Genomic DNA, 25,640 nt, shown 5'->3' with positions numbered 1-25,640 from the left:
ATTTTGGGATGTGTAGGCCATATAGGCTCTGAACAACGCTGTTGCTGTAGAAACTAAGGAGCTGTAGAGAACACATAAACAGGCAGAGCTATATGCCAGTAAAATTTATTTATAGTCATATAATTTTCTTTTCTTTTTTTTGAGACAGGGTCTTACTCTGTCACCCAGGCTGGAGTGCAGTGGCACGATCAGGGCTCACTGCAGCCTCAAACTCCTGGGCTCAGGTGCTTCTCCCACCTCATCCTCCTGAGTAGCTGGGACTACAAGGCACCACCACCATGCCCAGCTAATTTTTTTTATTTTTTGTAGAGACAGAGTTTCACCTTGTTGCCCAGGCTGATCTTGAACTCCTGGGCTCAAGTGATCCTCCTGCCTCAGCCTTCCAAAGTCACACCTGGGACCACAGGTGTGAGCCACCACACCCAGCCATGAATTTAATATAATTTTCACATGATGAAATAGGAATTCTTAAAAAAATTTCCCCAACTATTTAAAAATGTAAAAACAATTTTTAGCTCATAGATTGCAAAACAGGGAGCAGGCCAGATTTGGCCCATGGACCATAGTTTGCAAACTCCTGTTGGAGATCATTAAGCTTACTGTTAAAGGTGCTCTGCAGCCCAACAGAAAGGTGCATATATTACTAAGCATAACATTGAACCTCTTCATTCACCTCAGCCTGAGACCTGGAGTGAATTATGGACTTGTCTGATGACATCTGGTCAAAGATAATTCAAGGACGAGGACTTAACTCTCTTAACAACAGTTCAGTATACATACAAACTACCAAAAAAGGTCCACTGTTAGCAGATATGATATGTGAAAGCTACACCAATGCTACCAGATCAAAAATGGTTTCTAAAAAGGTAAATGTAACTTCAAATTAGTTTATATTTTCTGCAATCAGTATCTATACATGTGCTATATGACTTGTACAGTTTTCCTAAAACAATCAACAATAAACCAAAGACCGTCTCCTCAGAAGTCCAAATATGGTATAAATCTGGACAGAAATAAAAATGAACAATTTTTTTAAAGATAACCAAAAAAGTTAAGCAATTTAAGAAAGCATATCATGAAAACAATAAAAAAAAAATCACCCTACCATTAGGAAGTATTGTAGGTTCCCATATTTTCAAGAGTTTGGTAAGTTCAATCATAAATCTGGAATAGGGCTCAGTAAAAATGTTATCTATTCTACCATTTTCAAACAGGTACTACAAGAAAAAAAAAAGAAAATATACATGTTGATAAAAAGAAAACATGAGTTCTTAAAAAATTATTGTAAGAAATACAGTTTACCCTTAATTTTTGCCCTTACAATATTATAAACCATGTTTAACCTCTCAGTACCTTAGAGATAGTTGTTAAAACACTAGAATTCAAGCTAAAGCTCCTGTTCTTATTAACACATTATCTTCAGCACTGACCTTGCAAGGTAAAGTTTTTGTACTTCGTTTTCAAACACGGATGGTACAGAAGAAGTATTATGAAGAACCCTTTACTTAGTTCCTAAAACTGACATACTAAAACTTGGTTCCAATGCACACGTTCCAAATCATGTTTTTCCTGATTCATAATGTGTATCTGCAGATGTGCTCTTTTGTTTTTTACCCTAGATACAAGATCATTTCTTGCAATCACACAGTTAGCTAATGTCAGTTGACCTGAGGAAACCCAAATTTAAAAACTATTTATTTGGAGCCTTCTAACTACAGCTCTCAACTCTGCCCCACAACCTAGCCCTCAAAAAAGTTCAAGTCTAATTATAGGACATTGAACTATGTTAATTATAACCATTAACAACCATATCATAGGCTAGAACAAAAAGAATACCTATAGTTTAAAAATGTATTGAGCCAGGAATGGTAATCCCAGTGCTTTGGGAGGCCAAGGTGAGAGGATCACTTGAGGTCAATAGTGCAAGACTAACCTGGGCAACACAGTGAGACCCATCTCTACAAAAAATTTAAAAACAAATAGCCAGGGGTGGTGGTGCATGCCTGTAGTCCTAACTGCTTGGGAGTCTGAGGCAGGAGGGTTGTTTGAACCTGGGAGTTTGAGACTGCAGCAAGCTATGATCATATCACTGCACTTCAGCCTGGGTAACAGAGCAAGACCCTGTCTCTTTTAAAAAGTACTGACGGCGCAGGTCAGATAAAATCAATTGAGACAGGGACACACCATGAGTAGTAACGGAATCCAAGGCAGCATGTAATTACGTGATAAAAGTATTTTGGTGTTTTTAAGGTTTAGTATTTTTAATTTATATTTCTGTGGCTATCTTGGTTTCTTGCATTTCTATGTATGATTTGGAGAAAATTATTTCCATTTAAATTTATTCTGGCTAACAAAAATTACCACTTCAATAGGCATTTTTATGAGGCCTCCTCAAAGGCAATTTATGAACTTATTGGCAGATTACAGTTTGTTGTTCAACAGTATTCCTCTTTTTCTTCTTTTAATATAGTCACTTTCAAGCTTAAAAATATATCTTCGTTATTGAAAAAGTTCAAAATAAAGAAAAAGTAGACTATTCAAACTCATTCAAACTCATCACACAAAGTCAACTACTATTCATATGCAAAAATATTTCCAATCTTTAAGAAATTCCATTATGCAGAAGTGAGTTTTGTACAGTTACAGAAATATATCAGTACATATAACGCAACATACATGTTTAAAAAAAGTCTCTTCCCCCTTAACCAGGAACAAGACAAGAATGCCTATCCTTGCCATTCTTCGTCAACACTGTACCGCGAATCCTAGCAGAGCAGCCAGGCAAGAAAAATAAATATAACGCATTCAAATAGGAAAGGAAGAAGTAAAATTATCTCTAGTTGCAGGTGACAGAATCCTATATATAGAAAATCTTAGAGAATACACAGAAAAATGAATTATTAGAGCTAATAAGTGAATCCAGCCAAGTTGCAGCATATAAGCAATACACAAAAATCAGCTGTATTTCAAGCTAGCAATGAACAATCCAAACAGGAAATTAAGAAAGTCCCGCCAGGTGCGGTGGCTCATGCCTGTAATCCCAGCACTTTGGGAGGCTAAGGCGGGCGGATCACAAGGTCAGGAGATCGAGACCACGGTGAAACCCTGTCTCTACTAAAAATACAAAAAAAAAAAAAATTAGCTGGGCGCGGTGGCGGGCGCCTGTAGTCCCAGCTACTTCGGAGGCTGAGGCAGGAGAATGGCGTTGAACCCAGGAGGCGGAGCTTGCAGTGAGCTGAGATTGTGCCACTGCACTCCAGCCTGGGCGACAGAGTGAGACTCCGTCTCAAAAAAACAAACAAACAAACAAAAGTCCCATGTTTACCAAAGCATCAAAAAGAATAAAATACTTGAGAAGAAATGTAACCAAAATGTTGTAAGACTTACACACTTAAAACCACAAAAAACTGCTGAAAGCAAAAATTAAAGAACAACTAAATAAACAGAAAGACATCCTGTAGTCACAGATCAGAAGATTTAATGATGTTAAAATGGCAATATTCTCCAAATCAATTTATAGATTCACTGCAATCATATCAAAATCCAATGACCTTTTTCTGCAGAAATGGAAAAACCCATTCTAAAATTGACATAGAATTTCAAAGGACCTTGAAGAGCCCAAAGAATTTTGAGGAACCACATTTCCTGATTTCAAAACTTAATACAAAGCTATAATGTAAGTTGCAAAACTGTGTACTGCCCTAAAAATAGCCATCTATAGAAAAATGGATTAGGGCCGGGCACAGTGGCTCACGCCTGTAATCCCAGCACTTTGGGAGGCCGAGGCAGGCGGATCACAAGGTCATGAGATCGAGACCATCCTGGCTAACACAGTGAAACCCTATCTCTACTAAAAATACAAAAAAAATTAGCCGGGCATAGTGGCGGGCGCCTGTAATCCCAGCTACTCGGGAGGCTGAGGCAGGAGAATGGCGTGAACCCGGGAGGCGGAGCTTGCAGTGAGCCAAGATCAAGACTCCATCTCAAAAAAAAAAAAAAAAGAAAAAAGAAAAATGGATTATAACTGAGAGTCCAAATTAAACCCATCTATATTTGGTCAAAAGATTTTCTACAATGGTATCAAGCCCATACAATGGGTAAAGAACAGTCTCTTCAACAAATGGTGCTGAGAGAACTGGATAACCACATACAAAAGAATGAAGGTAGACCTAGCTCATACCAGATACAAAAATTAACTCAAAATAAATGAACGACCTAAATATAAGAGCTAAAATCATAAAACTCTCTGAAGAAAAGAGGATTAAATCTTCATGCCCTTGAATGTGGCAGTAGATTCCTAGATATAACACCAGGAGCACAGGCAATAAAAAGAAAAGAGAAAGGAAAAGAAAAGGAAGAACAAAAAAGAAACTGAACTTCATTAAAATAAAAAAAATTTGGCCGGGCACAGTGGCTCATGCCAGTAAAGCCAGCACATTGGGAGGCCGAGGTGGGCGGATCACGAGGTGGGAGATCCAAACCATCCTGGCTAATACTGTGAAACCCCGTCTCTACTGGAAAAAAAAAAAAAAATGAGCCAGGTGTGGTGGCAGGCGCCTGTAGTCCCAGCTACTCGGGAGGCTGACGCAGGAAAATGGCGTGAACCTGGGATGCGCAGCTTGCAGTGAGCCCAGATGGTGTCACTGCACTCCAGCCTGGGCGACAGAGCGAGACTCCATCTCAAAATAAATAAATAAATTAATTAATAAACAGATAAATAAATAAATAAATATATATTTGTCATTCAAAGTACACTACACCAAGAGAGTGAAAAGAAAATCCAGAGAATGGGAGAAGATATTTGCAAATCACATATCTGATAAAAGTTTAATATCTAGAATATATATAGTTTCTACAACACAATGACAAAAAGACAATTCAATTAAAAATTAGGCAAAGGACTTGATATAGTTTAGATACTTGTGCCTTCCAAACCTCGTGGAGATTTGATCCTTAATGTTGGCAGTGGGGCCCTGATCTCTCATGACTGGCTTGATGCTATTCTCCTAGTAATGAAGTTCTCCCTCTATTAGTTACTGAGAGATCTGATTGTTAAAAAGAGCCTGGTACTTCGTCCTCACTCTCTTGCCATGAGACGCCTGCTCCCCCTTCACCTTCTGCCATGATCATATGATGCCGTGATTGGAAGCTTCCTGAAGCGCTCACCAGAAGCAGATGCTGGAGCCATGTTTCTTGTACTGCAGAACCATAAGCCATGATTCTGCATGAGAATTTTTTTTTTTTTTTTTGAGACAGAGTCTTGTTCTGTCACCCAGGCTGAAGTGCAGGGGCGCGATCTTGGCTCACTGCAAACTCTGCCTCCTGGGTTCAAGCGATTCTCCTGCCTTAGCCTTCCGAGTAGCTGGGACTACAGGCATGTGCCACCACGCCCAGCTAATTTTTGTATTCTTAGTAGAGACAGGGTTTCACCATGTTGGCCAGGCTGGTCTCGAACTCCTGACCTCGTGATCTGCCTGCCTCGGCCTCCCAAAGTGCTGGGATTACAGGTGTGAGCCACCGCACCCAGCCAAGAATTTCTTTATAAATTACCCAGCCTCAGGTACTCCCCTATGGCAATACAGACTAAGACAGGACTTAAATAGACATTTCTCCAAAGAAGGTATACACATGGTCAAAAAGTACACAAAAAGATTCCCAATGTCATTAGGAAAATGCAAATTAAAAACACAATGAGATATCATTTCATACCCACCAGGATGGTTGTTTAAAAAAAAAAAAGACAGAAATTAACAAATGTTAGCAAGAATGTGGAGATACTGGAATCTTCATACACTGCTGTTGGAAATGTAAAATGGTGCTGCCACTTTGGAAAACAGTTCAGTAGTTCCTCAACAACTCAGTCATAGTTACAAGACTCAGCAATTCCACTCCTAAGCATATATGGCAAAAGAATTGAAAATAGGTGTTCAAACAAAAACCTGTACATGAATGTTCACAGCAGCGTATTCACAATCACCAAAAGGCAGAACCTCAAATGTCCATCAGTGGATGAATGGATAAACAACATGTGGTATATCCATATGATAGAATATTATTCAGCCATAAAAAGGAATGCTATATTGATTCATGCTAAAACATGGATAAACCTTGAAAACATAATGCTAAGGGAAAGAAACCAGACACAAAAGGCCACATAGTGTGTGAATCCACTGATACAAAATATCCAGAATAGGCAAGTCCAGAGAGACAGAAAGCAGATTTATGGTTGCCAGGGATGGGTGGAGGGAGTAATGGGGAGTGACTACTAACTGGGTTTGAGGTTTCCCTTTGGAGTCATAAAGCTACAGAATAGACAGTGGTGATGACTGCACATTAAGAATGTACTTATTAGTCCTACTGAATTGCAAACTTTAAAATGGTAAATTTTATGTTATGCATATTTTCCCATAACAATCACACTATATATATAATTCTGCAAGTTACTTTTTTTTTGTTTTTCCTCAGACAGGTTCTCACTCTGCCACCTAGGCTGGAGCTCCAATGGCTTACTGCAGCCTTAAACTCCTGGGCTGAGGTGATCCTCCTGCCTCCGTCTCCTGAGTAGCTGGGAGTGGAGGCATACACCACCATACCTGGCTAATTTTTTATTTTTTGTAGAGATAGTGTCTCCCTATGTTGCCCAGGCTGGTCTTGCATCACTGGCCTCAAGTGATACTCCCATCTCAGCCTCCCAAAGTGCTAGGAATACAGGTGTGAGCCACCACACCTGGCCCTGCAGGTTACTTTTTAAAATATATGCCTCTAAGAATTTCCTAGGTCAATAAATACAGAAGCAAGCCATTCCTTTGTAAATATTTTACAGTATTCCACAGTATGGACATATTATAGTTGACTGATCCACAAAGCTTGATTAACACTTGAGCGGTTTCCAATTTGTTGTTAAAAACAATGTTCCAATGAAAATACCAGTATATATCTGGGTGTGTACATGTGCATGTAATTTCTGTGGGGACATATTCTGGTCAATGGATTTGCTAGGTTGAAGAATCCATATGTTTAACTTGATACCTGTTGAATTCCAAGGCACAAGTATAAGATACTGTCTGGATCATATTTTTCACCATTTGGTCTCCGCACCTCTTGGATAAACTGGCATAAGCCCAAACTCAACTCAGCAAAAGTGCAGGACAGAATGTCTTCCTTCAGCTTGATAGAGCGGACTGTGGAAAGGTAGAAAACATCTGAAACATTAACTTTTAACAAACATAGTAGCATTGATTAACTGAATAAACATTGAACACTACTGTGCTCCAGGCACTGCGGTGCAGACTAGTGGGTATATGGATTAAAGACAGATTCTGATCTCAAGTCTACTTCAGTTAGGGAAATAAAGACCAGTGCATATGGTGCAATACGTGCTATGATAGAGGCTTTCTTTAAATGGCATTCTGTGAAAGCAAATGAGGGCTATCCAACAGGGAAGAGTCAGGTTAGATTCTGGGAAACGTGATACTGGAGCTAGACCTTAAAAGGTGAGGAAGAGTTAAACAGGTAGATAGGTAAAGAATTCCAATCTGAGGATACACAAAAAGGCTTCCCAAAGTAGAGTCCACAAAATACTAGTCTTATGTGAGAGCTGGAGAACACTGGGTTTCTAAGATTTGATATTCAGAAAACACAAGATACTATATTTGTCTCTGAAGAATTCACAGTGCTTAATGGTACATTAAAGGCTCTGAGCATATTTGCAAAAAAGAAAGCTATTCAACTTTTTCTTTTCTTTCTTTTTTTTTTTTTTTGAGATGGAATTTCGCTTTTATTGCCCAGGCTGGGGTGCAATGGCACAATCTCGGCTCACTGCAACCTCCGCCGGGTTCAAGTGATTCTCCTATCTCAGCCTCCTGAGTAGCTGGGAGTCAGCCGTGCACCACCATGCCCAGATAATTTTGTATTTTTAGTAGAGACGGGGTTTCTCCATGTTGGTCAGGCTGGTCTCAAACTCCCAACCTCTGGTGATCCGCCCGCCTCGGCCTCCCAAAGTGCTGGGATTACAAGTATAAGCCACTACACCCGACCAGCTGTTTAACTTTCTTCAGCTGATATTTATTTGAATACAGAACACCTCAAATAATGAATAACACCCTCTTGCCTTTGGAAATGCTAGAATACAGTATTCCCTTTGCTAGGTCACAGGCTGCAAAGGTTCAGGGGACTTGGGTGTATAGGACAAGGCAAGAAGGGCAGGTGGGAGCAGATCATGATCAGCCTCATTTCTCATATTAAGATTTTGCAGACAATGAGCTGAATTAATTTTGAGCAGGGGAGTTATCCAATTTGATTTGTAGAGGTCCTACTACAACATGTTGATCCACATTGTGGGGCCAAGATTAAAACACCCTTTCTAGTCATTGCTCTTCTGCACTGAGATAAGATTACATACACATGGGCTCCTGTGAGTTGGGTTTTAGTTAAAGCAAGCCGTATCTCATGAGAGCACCGACCATGTTTGACTTTTTCACCCTAGTACCTAGCTTCATACCTGGTATATAAGAGAGATATTCAGTAAGTATTTCTCAATGAAAGAGTGGTAGAAATGGGTTGCCATCCCTGTAACAGCTGCATTTAGGCTTAGTAGTCTAAAGCAGTATTACCTCTCCATTTGCACTATTACCCTTCCCCGGCTTTTTGTTTTATTTTTATTTTTTTAGAGACAGGGTCTCACTCTGATGCTCAGGCTGGAGTGCAGTGGTGCAATCATAGCTCACTGCAGCCTCAGAACTCTTGGGCTTAGGAGATCCTCCTGATTCAGCCTTCTACAGTGCTGGGATTACAAGTATGAGCCACTGCACCCAGCAGGTTGCTCTTTTAACTTAAAACATGCTACTAGGCAGTTAATGGCCTAGTAAATCTCCACAACAGGAGTGTATTTACATAGCTTTGGAGCAGACAGATTACATTTCATCTATAGGAACTCAATGAGTTAGTCACTGCCCACAGCAGCAACTAAGTGCTCCAATAAGGACAGTTACATGTGCCCCAAAACCAACAGGGTAGACTGGAGTGAAGCCAAGAGTGCATACAATCACCTAGGTTTAAGACAGAAAGAAGATATAGTTGGAAAGTGGAATAAAATCAAGTTACATGGATATACTCCTCCATTCTGCCCCATCTCATTCCATAAAGATTGTATAAGTATTTTACATAAAACACAAATTAAAAGCAAAAGATAAAGTGAAACAAAAATTTAGAATAGGGTGTCAAAAGTAGTGAAAAATGAAAACTAATGTGGGCCTTAAAATTATACACTGTTGCTTTATTTGAAATGCTCATGTAATACCAAATTTCCTGGCAGCTGAAGTGAAACCCACAAACATTGTCAGTTACATAGATCTCACTGTAAGGAAAAATTCCTACATTAGAAGCAAGGCTTTTCCAGGTATTTTTCTTAAAAAAAAAAACAAAAAAAAAACTGGGCTCCACATGGATTACTATACAGACGCAGGGCTCAAGAAGACATATTTTGAGGCACTTGCACAGTGTCAAAAATAAAACAAAATTCTGTATATTTGCATAATAAACTCAAGAGCAGAAGACATAACCTTACCCTTATAACAACCTCCTTAAAACGGGATAAGATTAATTTCTCTTTCTAACCTTAATACTCTAAATTTTAAATAATTTTAAATATTCAATTTACAAATTTAAATCCGCAATAATAATATAAATAATTCATACCAAATGGAGAGAAACAAATTTTACCTCTACAGCCTGGCTCTGAGGATTCTTGAGAGAGTGCATGGTCTTGAGTACTTCCTAAGGGGTCAGAACGTGGGCTAGATGAGGCCTGTTCAACCCCTGACAAGGAGAGAAACATAAAAGAAAAGTTTAAATAAAATAAAAGTGCGGAAAAAATTAAGTAAAGCCCAAACCAAAGTTTTATGGGGTTTTTGACCTAAAATGTATCCCTTTTCAGTAGATTATCTGTATATTTCCCCCTACCTAAATCAAGATACAATTCATGCTGTGCACTTACCTCCACATTTTAGATCCCCCTGCTCTTCCTTGGCATTTTTCCACTGAACCCAGTTCTTCCAAGCATTTACCCCATACATGTATTTCAGTGTCATCCCGGACACTGAGCAGCCTTGAAAGGCTCCTTGAATAAGACTCCTGGGCTCCACAGCCACTATAGACTTCTTCCGTCCCTGTAAGAATTCCAAAAATTTACAGAACATAAAATTTAGTTTTGGATTTTTAAGAGTCAGGGTTCTCAAAGCTGGAAAGGGTATACATTTGTAGAATAAAGAATTTAGTTTTATATCCTAAAGATTCAGAGTTCTTAGAGCAAGAAAGGGCTTTAGAGATTATTTAATCCAATCCATATGAGGAAGGAAGAAAGAAAAAGTTTAAATGCAGAAGAGCACACTGTAATAATCACTAACATTTGGGTATTTACTATGTTCCAGATATAGACTCACCTGATGAGGTATGAATAACTACTATTACCACTCAGGTCTATTTAATGAAACATGTAAACAGATCATATTCTGTGCTATAAAACAAGCCTCAACAAATTATCTAACTACAATGAAATTAAAATAGAAACCAATGATGCATAGATGTCCAAAAAAATCCTCCAAAATCATAAATTAAACAGCTCTATGGGTCAAAGAAGAAAGGACACATGCAATCACAAAACATTTTGAACTTAAAGGAAAATGAAAATAAAATTTACCAAAATTTCTGTGATGGAACTAAAGCAGTACTTAAAGGGACATTTGTAGTATTAAAATGTTTCAATAAGAAAATTTTTAAAAAGTCTATAATCTATAACCTAAGCTTCTATATTAAGAAACTAGAAAAGGAAGGCCAAGTGCAATGGCCCATACCTGTAATGCCAGCACTCTGGGAGGCCTAAGTGGGCAGACTGAGCCCAGGAGTTCGAAATAAGCCTGGGCAACATGGCAAGACCCCGTCTCTACAAAAAATTAAAAAATTAGCCAGGCATGGTGGCATACATCTGTAGTCCCAGCTACTTGGGAGACTGAGGTTTAAGGATCACCTGAGCCCAGGAGGTTGAGGTTGCAGCGAGCCATGATTACGCCACTGCACTCCAGCCTGGGTGACTGAGTGGAGACCCTGTCTAAAAACAAACAAGCAAAAAACCAGAAAAGGAAATCCAAATTAAAACCCAGGCTGGGTGCAGTGGCTCATGCCTGTAATCCCAACACTTTGGGAGGCTGAGGCAGGTGGATCACTTGTGACTCTCATGCCAATAAATTAAACAACTTAGATGAAATGGACAAACTTCTTGAAAGATTAATTAAGCTTACTCTAGAAGAAACAGATAACCTAAATAGCCATAGAAACAGCATTTATAGCTTAAAACCCTCCCACAAAAACTCTATTCCCAGATGGATTAAATTCCATCATAGTTAAATTCTATCATAGTTAAAGAAATTATACAAATTCTATCATAGTTAAAGAAATTATACAAATTCTATCATAGTTAAAGAAATTATACAAATAGAAGAAAAAGAAATATTAACTAATTTTATAATGTCACCATTACCCTGATACCAAAACCAGTCACAAAGTACAGATAAATATGTCTTGAACAGGGACACTCAAAACCTTCATAGGGCCAGCCATGGCAGCTCACACCTGTAATCCCAGCACTTTGGGAGGGCGAGGTGGGTGGATCACTTGAGGCCAGGAGTTCAAGACCAGCCTGGCCAACATGGTGACACCCCATCTCTACTAAAAATACAAAAATTACCCAGGCATGGTGGTGGGCACCTGTAATCCCAGCTACTTGGAAGGCTGAGGCAGGAGAACTGCTTGAACCTGGAAGGTGGAGGTTACAGTGAGCCGAGATCGCGCCATTGCACTCGAGCCTGGGCAACAGAGTGAGACTCTGTCTCAAAACAGAACAACAACAAAAAACCTTCGCAGAATATTAGCAAACCAAATCCAGCAACACAAAAAAATAATAAATACAGAAAAAAGTAGGGTTTATCCCAGGAATGGAAGGTTAATCATTTGAAAAAATTAATGTATTTCACCATTTTAACAGACTTAAAAAAAGGAAAACCAGATAATCACCTCAAAAGATGCAAGAAATCCACCTGAGGAAGTTCAATACCCAATCATGATTTAAAAAACTTTCAGCAAATTAAAAGGAGAAGGGGAACTTCTTCAACCTGATAGAAACCACCTATGAGAAACCTACAGGTAACATCATACTTTCTGTTGCAAGACTTTTTTCACCGTAAGGTTAGGAATAAGGCAAAAAGGTCTGCTCTCACTACTAATATTCAACATTGTACTGAAGATACTAGCTAGTTCAATAAAACAAGAAAAAGAAGGAAAGAAAATGCATTCAGATTACAAAGTAAAACTGTCTTTATTCACAGATAATATGATTGTCTAGGTAGAAAATCCTAAGGATTTTAGTTGAGCAAAGTCACAGGACACAAAGTAAATACATGAAAATTACCTATATTTCTTTTTTTTATTTCTAAGATAAATATCATAGAAGAAAAAATTATCTATATTTCTATATACTAGTAAGGAACACGAAAAATGAAATTGTTTTTCTTTTTTTTTGAGACAGGGTCTCGCTCTGTCGCCCAGACTAGAGTGCAGTGGCATGATCAGGGCTTACTGCAGCCTCGACCCCCCCTAGGCTCAAGCAATTCTCCCAGCTCAGCCCTCCAAGTAGCTGGGACCACCAGCATGCGTCACCATGCCCAGCTAATTTTTAAAATTTTTAGTAGAGATGGGGTCTCACTACATTGCCCAGGCTGGTCTCAAACTCCTGGGCTCAAACAATCCTTCTGCCTTAGCCTCCCAAAGTACTAGGATTATAGGTGTGAGTCATTGTGCTCAGTGAAAAATGAAATTTAAAAATAATACAATTTACAACAGCATCAAAATATCTTAAATACTTATGAAATAAACTTAACAGAATATAATGAGACTTGTAATGCAGACTATTCCATGTTTCCAAATTAGAAGACTCAACATTCCTAAAATGTCAATTCTCTCCCTCTGGATTCAGGACAGCCCCAACTGAAATTCTAGCAGCCTTTTTTTTTTTTTTTTTTTTAAAGAAATTGACAAGTTGATTCCAAAATGTATATAGACATGCAAATGACAAGTTTAAGAAGAACAAAGCTGGAAGATTTACACTCTTAATTTCCAGGCTCACTGTAAAATCACAGTAATCAGGACAGTTGGTACTGGTATAAAAATAGACATATAAGTCAATAGAACAGAATAGAAAGTTTCAGAAACAGACTGATAGATACATATATGATTGACTTTTAACAGAGTTGCCAATGTAATTCAATGGGGAATGAATAGTCTTTTTCAAGGGCAGTGCTGGAACAACTGGATGTCCATATTCAAAAAATGAACCTTGACCCTTGTCTCAACTCATATATAAAAATTACCTCAAAATAGATCACAAACATAAAAGTTAAAACTATAAAACTTCTAGAAGAAAATGTAAGAGAATGTCTTAGTTACTATGAGTTAGGCAAAAATTTTTAGATGAGGTATTAAAAAGCACAATCCATAAAATAACAAATTGATAAAAGGGACTTCCTCAAAATCAAAATCTGCTACTCATCATTAAGAAAATAAAAAGGAAGTAACAAAATAGGACCAAACGTTGATTTGATAAAGAAATTATGTCCACAGTAAAGAATACTTACAACTCAGCAAGATAACAACCAACCCAACAAAAAAATGAAAAAAATGTGCGAAAACTGTGAATAAACACTTTACCAAAGAAGACACATGAATGGCAAATACATATATGAAAAGATGCTTAACATCATTAATCATTAGGGAAAAACAAATTAAAACCATAATGAGGTACCACTATACATTGACTAGAATGGCTAAAATTAAAAATCAACAATACCAAGTGTTAGCAAAGTCATGGAGCAGATGGAACTCTCTCATACATTGCTGGTGGGACTGCAAAATGGTACATCTCCTTTGGAAAACAGTCTGGCAGCTTTCTTACAAAGTTAAAAATACACATAAGCATAAAACCTAGCAATCTCATTCCTAGATCTTTTTCCTCAAGAGAAATGAAAACATATGTTCACACAAAGATTGATACTAAGATGTTCATAACATTTTGAGTAAGTTTTATTCAAAATAGCCCCAATCTGGAAACAACCCAAATTTTTATCACCTGTTAAACAGCTGAACAAATTGTAGTTTGTCCATGTAATGAAATACTACTCAGAAATAAAAAGGAATCAACTACTGGGACATGAAATAACATGGATGAATCTCAAAAACATTATGCCAAGTAAAAGAACTTAAACACAGAAGACTACATATTATAGGATTCCATTCATGTGAAATTTCAGAAAAGGCAAAGCAGTGGCATTCTGCATCAATCGGTACAGTAGATCAGTGGTTGTCAGCAGCCAGAGGGGCTGACTGCAAAAGGTCATAGTGGAACTTCTTGCTAAGTGGAATTGTTCATGATTGTGGTGGGAATTACATAACATATACATTAGTTGAAGGCCATCAAAATGTACACTCAGAACTTAAAAATGTTTTAATATAATTATACAATAGGGCTAATTTTAAAAATAAAGCTATTATTCTTTCAACTTTGTATAGGAAAGCCCTGTCAATGTGAAAAACAGCCATGTGAACTTCACTATTTTACTATACTATAAAAATAGGGAACTGGCCGGGCGCGGTGGCTCACGCCTGTAATCCCAGCACTTTGGGAGGCCAAGGCGGGTGGATCACGAGGTCAGGAGATCGAGACCATCCTGGCTAACATGGTGAAACCCTGTCTCTACTAAAAAATACCAATAAAAATTAGCCAGGCGTGGTGGCGGGCACCTGTAGTCCCAGCTACTTGGGAGGCTGAGGCAGGAGAATGGCCTGAACCCAGGAGGTGGAGCTTGCAGTGAGCCGAGATCACGCCACTGCACTCCAGCCTGGGTGACAGAGCGAAACTCCGTCTCAAAAAAAAAAAAAAAAAAAATAGTGAACTACTCAGTATTTTTTATTTTTATTTATTATTACTTTTTTTTTTTTTTTTTTGAGACAGTCTTGCTCTGTAACCCAGGCTGGAGTGTAGTGGCCTGATCTCAGCTCACTGCAAGCTCCACCTCCTGGGTTCAGGCCATTCTCCTGCCTCAGCCTCCCGAGTAGCTGGGACTACAGGCGCCCACCACCACACCTGGCTAATTTTGTTGTATTTTTAGTAGAGACGGGGTTTCACCATGTTAGCCAGGATGGTCTCGATCTCCTGACCTTGTGATCCGCCTGCCTTGGCCTCCCAAAGTACTCAGTATTATAACATGTAAAAAGAGCTAAATTTAGAGGCTGTTCAAACAGATAAAGCATAAAAAATAACTATAAAAAGTTTTTTAAAGTAAACAAAGCAATATAAAAGAAAACCCTTAACTATAGAAACAAAAAAAGTTCCTACTGAAAGAAATGTAAATAAAATATATGGTTCTTGAATTCAAAAAACAAAAGTTGCAAAACAACATGTGGAACTACCTGACTCTGGCTGTTACAGAGTTTTGAAAGCAGCAGGAACTAAATAATGCTTGTAGAATGAAGGAAAGAAAAGTCTAGAAAAGTTAAGCTGCAGCTTACTCTTCGTCTGGGTTGGGGGAAGCCATCTCTGTGTCGTCGTCTTGTTCGGGAACGTGCCTGGATTCCCTGTCCTTTATTAAGTGGGTCAAAGGAGTCTATAATAATCAGCAGAAAGGACAACATGAGGTAAATAACTCACAAATTTAAATAAAGACTTAGACTAGTAAAGAAATATCAGGTAATCATCACTATATTCATTAGTTTGTTTGTGATAAAATAAGGATTCCACTTATAGACTTAAACCAAGGATATAGTGCATAAATGAAAACTTCATTAACAATCAGGAAAACCTCTTATATAGCTACTACGGGAAAGGTTAAAAAAAATTTTAACCACATTAACCACTTATAAGAACAATATGGTACGAATTAACACCTACAAAGCCAGGGTCTATTTGTGCTCTAGATTATGACCTCTAACACATTACACTGTTATTATCAATAACAATTGGCACTGCTTAATAGTGTCAATTCAGAGTTGTACCGATCTTTTAAAATAAAAAGCTTTCAGTGGACAGGTTACTGTACACAAACCTGATGGAAAATCTGCTTCCAGGTCCTGTTCAGTTTCCCCTTTTGAGAACTGCTTCAATTCTGAATCAGCCTCTTGCACAGCATTTGACTTTAAGGCATAGTGATTCAGCTCTTCCTCCCAGCTATGTGGAGTAGATACTGCCTCTGATTCAAGATCACCACTGTATGTACTTCCTTGGTCTGAAATATATAGATAACAATTAAGCCCTCAAAATAAAATAGCCTCATCTTGACATGCTCGGAAAACTTCCTGAACCCCTAAATACCAAAAAATGAGATACGGTTGATGGACAATTACCTAGGTACACTCAAGAATGAGGTAACTTGTTCATCAGTCTCAAAGAACTGGATTCATATTTTTGGTAGGCAATTGAAAGCATTATCTCAATTAATTTTTAAAACAAACATTTGAGTGGCTTTTATTATTCTCACTACAAATTAGTACACTTCATATACATCTGATACCCCTTACAAATAGTTAAAATTACAAATATGAAATCCAAGGGTACTAATATTTTATAGGTTTCTAACAGAGGGTAGTATTTCTAAAAATCAAAACATATTTTCAACTACAAACCTTTTTCAAATATCTTGGTGTCTAGAAAGAGTTCGTGTTCAGAAGTTTGGGACTCTAAAGAAAAAGAAAAGCACATAAATAATTTATGTTTAGACAACAAATTATATCTCAAATGAAATGACTGCACTATATACATCAATCATACTACAAAGTTCTAAGTAAATAGATTTCATATGCAGAAAGAATAATTCATTAACAAAATTAGACATTAGGGATAAATGCAGTTAAACAGATTACCACTGTTAATGGGGATTCTGGTTAGTATCATGTGCTTTGGAGTCAGATGTATCTGGATTCAAGTTCTGGTTCCGCCACTTCTGGACTGCATAACCAAGGCAAGTCTAACATCCTACTTTCCAGATCAGAAATTTGAGATACATAGTACCCCCTCCCCACCCCATAAGGCTGTCATGAAGATTGAATCAGGCAAGGCACACAATGCACTGAGCACAATGCCTAGAGTATGGCAAGCACACAAAACGTTAACTATTGTTTTTATCATGATTCCACACTAGTAGTATGAGATCTATCTATCAGTTATTTTGAGCCAAATGGTTTTCCATCCTAAGGTTCTATTTACCCTCTACCAGCATGCTGGTTATTATATAACAGGAATTCTTATGTGGGGACCATGGCTTTGATTACAGAGATGGAATTGGAAAATGATCATGAAATCTTGATTTCTAAGTTATTTTTCTGGAATCATAACTAAAAACTATTGAATACCAATACTTGGTTTTCCTTCATAAAAACAATAAGAGCTTTCAGAAGCACTAAAAAGTGTAATCAACCCCACAGGCTTGGTATTCACAGACAATAAAGGTTTTAGAAACACCCTGTCTTATACTTAAAATTACTTGAGTCACCTGAAAATGTGTAAAACGTGTTTTTTCTTTCTTTACTTTTAAAGAGTATACCAACCTCCCTGAGATAGAGTCTTCTTCTCTTCATCTTCTGCAATCATTTCTGCCATCTCAAGGAGATCAGCTTCAAATGGATGTGTGGGAAGCTTTTCTTTAATGTCTTCAATACTCTCTGTGACTTTATCTTCACTATCCATTGAAGATGGAATAAGCATAGGGACAGGCATCTGAAAGACCAAGGATAGACTGAAGGCTTTCTTTGGCAACAGGTTTGTAGCCAAAAGTATGATTTGTGAGATGATTTAGGTATTAAAATAGTAAACAAATTTAAGGTATATTCATTGCTGATGATTAAAATAGTCTTGCTAGTTTGTTTTTATAAGACTAGAGCCATTTAAATAAAATTTCAATAAGTGCTTTGGACACTCAACCAATTATGTCTCTGAATCCTCTAAAAGAATAATTCTATAATACACTTGCATTTTGTTTTTGTTGTTTTTGCTTGTATTTCTCACAATTTTCTCATAACTGTTTCCTTTAAGGACTCAGTACCTGGGAAAAATAAATTTGTAATTAAAAAATACATTTTTCTTTAATCAAAAATGAGAATTATATAAATCACAGTACTCTTTTCACCCTTGCTAGAATCCAGGATTTCAACATACACCATTTCTGATCTTTTTCTATTTGAGTGGTCTTATTGTGCATGTAAGTTTTTTAAAAAGCTACATCATAACCTTTTCTGAGAAGGAAGGGTACAAATAAAAGCAGTCATTTATATAATCCATGTTAAGTAATAATGGGAATATGATAACAGCCAATCAGAAGCAGGTATATTTTACTAACAAATGAAAACTTTCTTCACAGAACTATACAGTTTTAATTGAGGAAAATGCATGCTATATTAGCTTTAATCTCTAAATGATTACTCACTGGAACTGGAATTCCAAATGGGACTGGAGCATATTGAGTATAAAGGTGAAGAGGTATGGGAACAAACACTGGTACGGGAACTGGCACCACAATAATCTGGGGCTGACTTGGAGTGTCTTCTAACAGTAACAACAACAAAATCACAAAAAGCAAAGAGGGTTAGAAATGCTTTCATAAGATTTCAAAATAAAAAAGCTTATGGAGGTTTATAGTTCAAAATAAGAGTAACCTATGACACTACAGGACTTCTTACAAAGGAGAAATAACTAAAGTAGCCAAAAAAATAAATCTTGAGTATAGCACTGACAAAAAGTGGGTAACAAATATCAGTGATGTGAGGAGAAAATGAATGCAGGATATAATTTAGATGGATAAATTGAAAGGATTGAAACAGGGAACCTAGAAGACAGGCATGGAAAACCACTTGCTAAAGAGGAGGCTGAATAGGGAGGGGCCATTTCCATCATGCTATAATGCACATTTCAAAATCATTTGTAGCTACTGAAGATTTTTTTAACACAAAGTAGTGATGAAAATGACATCAAAAAAGATTAATTTGGCAACAATTTCAGCACTGAATAAAAAATATATCAACTGTTAAAATAGGAGGCAATTATAATATGTAGAGCTAAGATGATGGGAGACTACTCTAGGTTATGATACCTACAAAAAAGAATAAATATATATAGCAGATGTTCTAAGTATTAAAAGGATGAAACAGAACTTGGAAAAAAACTTGGAGAAAGTAGCAAGATGGATGATTTATTCCATTATTTAACCAGACGGTCCCCAACTTAACGATGGTTCAATACAGGATTTTCCAACTTTATGATGGTGCAAAAACAAGTATATACCATACTTCTGTATAGCACTGAATGAATTACATGGTATTCAAAACTTTATTATAAAATAAACTTTGTGTTAGATGACTTTGCCCAACTGTAGGCTAATGTAAATGTTCTGGGCATGTTTAAAATAGCCTAGGCCCAGTTATGATGATGTTCTGGAGGTTGGGCATATTAAATGCATTTCTGACTCATGATTTTTTTAACATATGATGGGTACAACATTATAAGTCAAGGAGCATATAGAGTCCTTTCTATGTGTCAGAGAATATGCTAGATAAGTGTAAAATCATTAATCTAGGAGAAAGGTAATACTAGGGACAGAAAGAGAAGAGCTAACAATTTGACTAGAGTTAGAAGTGGGAAAATAATATGGCATAAATTTTTTTTTTTAACAGATGGGGGTCCCACCATGTTGCCCAGGCTGGTCTTGAACTCCTGGGCTCAAGTGATCCTCCCGCCTCAGCTGTCCAAAGTGCTGGGAGTATAGGCATGAGGCACCACATTTGGCCAACAAACTTTACATAATACAGCGGACATTAAAAAATTGTTACTTGATTTAGAAACATCTGATAACCAAACTACATAATACTAAATAAACTGCTATTGATTAAAAAAAAAAAAAAAGAACTAAATCATTTAGAGCCTTGCTATTTTGGTGTGGTCCATGAACCAGAAGCACTGACTTTACCTGGGAGCTTATAAGAAATGCAAAATCTCAGGCCTCACTGAATAAGAATCTACTTAGTAAAATTCCTGGATAATTCATGTGCATATTAATCTTTGAGAAGCAATGGCTGACAGGATAGCCTTGCAGCTCTAGAAATCAAGAATTTCCTTCTAGTTTAAAAATTCTGGGACTTTTAAAAATTTTTTAGTAGAGATGGTCTCGCTATGTTGCCCGTGCTGGTCTTGAACTCTTGGGCTCAAGTGATCCTCCTGCCTCAGCCTCCCAAACTGCTGGGATTACAGGTGTGAGCCACTGCAATCGGCCAAAATTCTAGGACTTTTGGATGGCAGCATGAGGAGCTACAAAGATCTATTCCTTAGTGAAACAAGCAAAGAAAGTGAAACTATTTAAAAACAGCCATTTAAATTCTTGGGAAATTGTCCTAAAGGCATATACCAAATGAAGAAACATTTATTCAAGACAATCTGTTCAAATTTGGTAAGAACAGTGAAAGTCTGTGACATTTCAGCCATCACAGGCTTTATCCCCCCAGCTCAATTCAGCTCAGCTTGACAGAAACTCCACTATGGGTAGCTGTGGCCAATAAAAATGGGCTTCTCTCCACTCAGCTCCCAATCAAGTGTTACTGTATCTCATCAAGAAAGGGAGGCCACAAGCATTTCTCATCCGCTCCAACTGAAAGCTGAAGAGGCTAAATTCCTGGTGAGTACGGGCAAGAGGTCAGGGGCTTCCCTTCACCCAGTTTCCATCCACTGGATGGAGGCTCTACCCTAGGAAAAGCAGGCCAAGAACACTGGGATCCTGATCACCCTCACCCCAGCTCACTTGTAGGGCAGAAGTTCCATGCCAGGGGAGGCAAGCCAAGAAGGCCAGAGACTACTACCCTGCCCAGCATCCATAGAGGTGGCTCAGAGATTCTGCCTAGGGGGAGAGGCAGTTCATAAAAAAAAAAAAAAAAAAAAAAAAAAAAAAGAAAGCTCTGAAGCTCTCCTCAAAGGAACTGACTTCATTTGAAACAGTGTGGAGTAGCCAAGAGACTGTGGAGTAGTTCAAACCTAAGGTCACACTGGAAAACAATAGCACCTCCTTAGAAGCCTGTCCATGTAATTCCAAACCTTATGCTTATTCTATAATATTACATTGTCATTAATAAGAGAATTAAATGACTTGCTCACAGTATGGTATCACTGATTAACTTCCTTCTCTTTGACCCAACTTGTTAAGCCTCAGATGCGGAAAATACCTAACTCACGGGGATGCTGTGAGAACTAAATTGGGCAATGTATACAAACAACCAAACACATCACCTAGGAAATAGCAGGTACTCAATGTAAGTAGATCCTACATTTCTTTCCCTTAAAAAATTAATAAAGAAAGAAAGACCAAGGAACATACCTGTCTGGCATTCTTTGTTTTGGGTATGTGGTTTGCAAGAGGTGGCTTTAGTCTGTGTGATGGGTTTGCATAATAAAGCTTTGTTCTTCAAAAGCCTTGGAGGTTGGGAAGGTGGCAGTTTCAGGGCATCTGTTTGAGTACTTGCCTAGTAAAAAAACAAATTAGAAACCAAAAACATTTTTAAAAATCTCATTGTAATTATAAGAAATATTATAATATTAAAGGAAATGTCATATTGGAATTACATGGAGGACATAGCAAGTAAATATTCAACCAAATGTATAAGAAATACAATACTCCTAAAATATTAATAGTAATCAAGGAATGTTTTAATAACTATATATTACTCTGCATGTCTCTAATCACAATTTCTATTTACCAAGAAAAATGCTATTTCTATTGTAACACACTGCTGATCAATAACAATGCTGGCTAAGTTTAAAATGAGAATTCTTACTTCCTGATTAAGACACAGAGGACTTGAGAGATTCAAGATAACTAGGAATAACAGAATCACTTATGATCATTTAAGTAACTTGAATAAAGACAACGTGAAAGTTATCCCAGAAACCTGGAGAAACACCTTAGAAATGCCACTGTTCCAGTCAGAAGTTTTTCTCATTATTTATTTTCTTCTTTTAAGAGACAAAGCAGAAAATATTAATGGGTTAAAAAAAGAATTTTTTTTTACAGTATAATCTGTAATGGGTCAGAGGGAGGATAAGCTACATTGTATAAACATTTTATTTATAATCTGAGTACATCACAAAACATCCAAAAGTCTTTCAGGCCTAAATCCTGTACAATTTACTTCAATTTTGTGTAATTAAAGAAAAACTTTCAGTAACTACATAGCCAGCATTCAAAGATATTAAAGTACATAAAAGACCTATTTAAATAGCCAGAAAATCCTATTCCTGAACAAAGATTAAATGAGCTAATGAAATCTATTTCATATAATAAAGAAGGAGGGCAAATTAGTTCACACATATTTATACTGTATGAAAATGAAAAATAAATACAGTGACAATACCAATAAAAGTAATAAAACTTACATCACCGATGATTTTCGCTGTTACTGTTGGAACTGCACCTTGATATAAATTAAAACATAAATTTAGGATCTTTACAATTATTTTAACATTAGCATTAAAAGCTGATTATCAGTACATAAACACAAACCCTCATACTAAGAACATGTGTTTTTTTAATTCAACGGAAGAAACTAGCAATTCTAAAGTATGAGATATGAAACTTGTGCAGCAAGCCACTATTCCTAATATTGAATGTGTCAAATGTATGAAAATAATCCCTGATGAAAGGAAGTTAGGGGACCACTGCATTCAACCTAAATAGGCTAGATAAATGCTTTCCAATCAAGCCATACCTTGTAAGACACTGTTAGAATTCACTGTAGGCTGAGCAGCAGGGGCACTTGCCAATGATACTACATTGGCTATAACTGGAGTCGAATCTTTTCTCAGAGATGGGGGTCCTGCTGAAGCAGCTTGAACCATGGAAATATTTGCTGATTAAAATAAACAAAAATAAGGAAACCTCACGTGATTTATATGTACTTACACAGAAACCATTTCAAGGAAGTTAAACAATGTTTTCAGGTTTGAGTAATTTCTGTTGGAGCAAAAAGTCACTTTAGGATTAACTGGGTTTTGGTTTTCTTCTTTTTTTTTTTCTTTTTGAGACAGAGTCTCACTCTGCTGCCCAGGCTGGAGTGCAGTGGCACGATATCAGCTCACAGCGACCTCCACCTCCCGGGTTCAAGCGATTCCCCTGCCTCAGCCTCCCAAGTAGCTGGGACTACAGGTGCGCAGCACCACACCCAGCTAATTTTTTGTATTTTAGTAGAGACGGGGTTTCACCATGTTGGCCAGGATGGTCTCAAACTCCTGACCTCGTGATCCGCCTGCCTCAGCCTCCCAAAGTGCTGAGATTACAGGCATGAGCCACCATACCCTGGTTTTCTACTTTTTAATTAGTAAAACTTGAAAGTTTTCTATTAACTTTATCTTTACATAAAAAAGGCAACAAATAGTCTAACTTAAAAACCAACTTAAAAACCAACAATGCAAATCCTCAAACACACAATACCAATGAAGATCACAGGTTAGATTTAATGGACAATTCAGCCTAATGTTTTTCTTAAATCTTGCCTTTATATAGAAATAATTTTTTTTTAAGTTTTGGAGTAGGCTCTTGTAGATTTTGCTTTTATTTGTAAGGAGACTACACTTAAATTCTTCTAGCTTTCAGGATGATACTAGTGTTGTTTTTAAATAATAAATTTTCTGAGATAAAGTGGCCTAGCACATAGTGTGTAGTCCTGATAAGATAAGTAAGTCCTGACAAGGTAAGTAAGCAACAAAGAGGAAGGGGCCCAGGTGGGGGAGAACAATGAGTAATTACTCTGAGAGATGACCTCCTACAGGTAGCCCCAGGAGCACGGCTACATTCTGCAAGCAGTCCCCTCCAGCAGGACCATGTAAAACGTCCCTCAAGCCGCTGCGTCTTTGCAGACTTCCCCTTCTCTGCTGTGCTGCTCACTGCAACCTTGCAACATATTTTCACACTTTCTCCAATAAATCTGCCTTTACCTATGACTGTCTTGGTAAATTCCTTTACAGCCCGTGACACTGGCCCCAACTAGTCACGCCCACGACATATAGTTTTATTTTATTTTAATTTTTTAGAGGCAGGGTCTCACTATATCATCCAGCTGGGATTGCTGTGCTGTGGTCACCGCTCACTCCACCCCTGAACTCCTGGCCTCAAGCCGTCCTCCCACCTCAGCATTCCAAAGGCGGTGGGATTACAGGCATGAACCATCACATCTGGCCTGCACATGGTATATTTAAAAGGCCATGTGATTTTGACTTTATGTCTTTTGTTATAAGTAGTCTCAAAGGATTTTTTAAGGAAGCCAATTATACTCAATTACAAACCATTAACTGTTATCCTTTCCCATAAATTTAAGTTCTTACAGAGTTTATTTGATTCAATATTCTCAAAGAAATCTATTTAATCAAAAACTCATTTTTACTCAGCTTTAATCTAAGGTGTCAGGCCTCTGAGCCCAAGCTAAGCCATCATATCCCCTCTGACCTGCAGGTACACATCCAGATGGCCGGTTCCTGCCTTAACTGATGACATTCCAACACAAAAGAAGTGAAAATGGCCTGTTCCTGCCTTAACTGATGACATTACCTTGTGAAATTCCTTTTCCTGGCTCATCCTGGCTCAAAAAGCTCCCCCACTGAGCACTTTGTGACCCCCACTCCTGCTCGCCAGAGAACAACCCCCCTTTTTCCTTTACCTACCCAAATCTTATAAAACGGCCCCACCCCATCTCCCTTCACTGACTCTTTTCAGACTCAGACCGCCTGCACCCAGGTGAAATAAACAGCCTTGTTGCTCACACAAAGCCTGTTTGGTGGTCTCTTCACACGGACGACAGTGAAATAAGGTGTTCAACAAAAAAAGCTAAATGTTATTGATACAGAATACAAGGAAACTGAGGTTTCATGAAATTAATGACAACTGTTTACACAGTTCCTGATCTGTAAAAGAACAGTAGTTCCTAGTATTGACCAAAGACTCCATTCAGTACCTAAGGTTAATTTTACCTGCATTATTTTGTGAAGGCGGGTCACATACACTTTGCTGATTACAGAACATCAAGATACAAAGCAGGTTACAGAAATGTTTCATTTCCCCTCGCCATTTCAAGGACTCACTGAGTTTACCCTGTCGCTTACAAGCATCACATTTGGCCATCTAAAAAGAAGAAGGTAGTCAAGGAGTAAGAAACAAATTATCTGTGGTCTGACAAAATAAAAATAAGACACACATAACAAGTGACGAAATTAACTTAGAATTTAGATCAAAAAATTAGTTTGTCTTTATCAATGATTATACACACACACACACACACACACACACATATATATATATATTTTTTTTTTTTTTTGAGACAGAGCCTTGCTCTATCGCCCAGGCTGGAGTGCAGTGGCGTGATCTCAGCTCACTGCAAGCTCCACCTCCTGGGTTCATGCAATTCTCCTGCCTCAGCCTCCCAGGTAGCTGGGACTACAGGCGCCCGCCACCACACCCAGCTAATTTTTTTGTATTTTTAGTAGAGACGGGGTTTCACCATGTTAGCCAGGATGGTCTCGA

At 37.8% G+C, this 25,640-nt stretch overlaps 1 protein-coding gene across 20 annotated transcripts in view, besides 3 other annotated features; it reads right to left on the bottom strand.

Annotated features, from left to right (window-relative positions):
- Nucleotides 1-25,640, bottom strand: part of ZMYM4 (zinc finger MYM-type containing 4) — a 153,350-nt gene that overhangs the window by 6,870 nt on the left and 120,840 nt on the right. For 16 of the 20 annotated variants that reach the window (XM_017002803.2, XM_024450838.2, XM_047434271.1 and 13 more), the window contains 13 exons: nt 25,091-25,241; nt 22,837-22,977; nt 22,505-22,542; nt 21,450-21,594; nt 18,519-18,637; nt 17,644-17,812; nt 16,723-16,776; nt 16,146-16,325; nt 15,613-15,707; nt 9,995-10,166; nt 9,721-9,816; nt 7,030-7,181; nt 1,106-1,217 (listed from right to left, as the gene is read on the bottom strand). In XM_017002803.2, coding sequence (XP_016858292.1) covers nt 1,106-1,217; nt 7,030-7,181; nt 9,721-9,816; nt 9,995-10,166; nt 15,613-15,707; nt 16,146-16,325; nt 16,723-16,776; nt 17,644-17,812; nt 18,519-18,637; nt 21,450-21,594; nt 22,505-22,542; nt 22,837-22,977; nt 25,091-25,241 — 1,624 coding nt within the window. Of the gene's footprint in view, nt 1-1,105; nt 1,218-7,029; nt 7,182-9,720; nt 9,817-9,994; nt 10,167-15,612; nt 15,708-16,145; nt 16,326-16,722; nt 16,777-17,643; nt 17,813-18,065; nt 18,138-18,518; nt 18,638-21,449; nt 21,595-22,504; nt 22,543-22,836; nt 22,978-25,090; nt 25,242-25,640 lie in introns of those variants that run through there. The other 4 variants (XR_246305.5, XR_007064889.1, XM_047434276.1 and 1 more) reach the window with 3 other exon arrangements.
- Nucleotides 24,022-24,639: an enhancer, noted in NCBI's record as "OCT4-NANOG-H3K27ac hESC enhancer chr1:35856151-35856768 (GRCh37/hg19 assembly coordinates)". NCBI's record gives its function as "activates a minimal SCP1, AML or CMV promoter by ChIP-STARR-seq in naive H9 embryonic stem cells {active_cell/tissue: H9 hESC(naive)}" and the evidence as "EXISTENCE:reporter gene assay evidence [ECO:0000049][PMID:30033119]".
- Nucleotides 24,147-24,441: a silencer, noted in NCBI's record as "tiled region #699; HepG2 Repressive non-DNase unmatched - State 15:Elon". NCBI's record gives its function as "represses a minimal TATA promoter and a strong SV40 promoter by Sharpr-MPRA in HepG2 cells {active_cell/tissue: HepG2}" and the evidence as "EXISTENCE:reporter gene assay evidence [ECO:0000049][PMID:27701403]".
- Nucleotides 24,640-25,259: an enhancer, noted in NCBI's record as "OCT4-NANOG-H3K27ac hESC enhancer chr1:35855531-35856150 (GRCh37/hg19 assembly coordinates)". NCBI's record gives its function as "activates a minimal SCP1, AML or CMV promoter by ChIP-STARR-seq in naive H9 embryonic stem cells {active_cell/tissue: H9 hESC(naive)}" and the evidence as "EXISTENCE:reporter gene assay evidence [ECO:0000049][PMID:30033119]".

The sequence above is a fragment of the Homo sapiens genome, chromosome 1, assembly GCF_000001405.40.
Source record: "Homo sapiens chromosome 1, GRCh38.p14 Primary Assembly".
NCBI classification, from domain to species: Eukaryota; Metazoa; Chordata; class Mammalia; order Primates; family Hominidae; genus Homo; species Homo sapiens.
The sequence above is the reverse complement of the archived record's forward strand: the minus strand, read 5'-3'. Positions and strand labels throughout refer to the sequence as shown.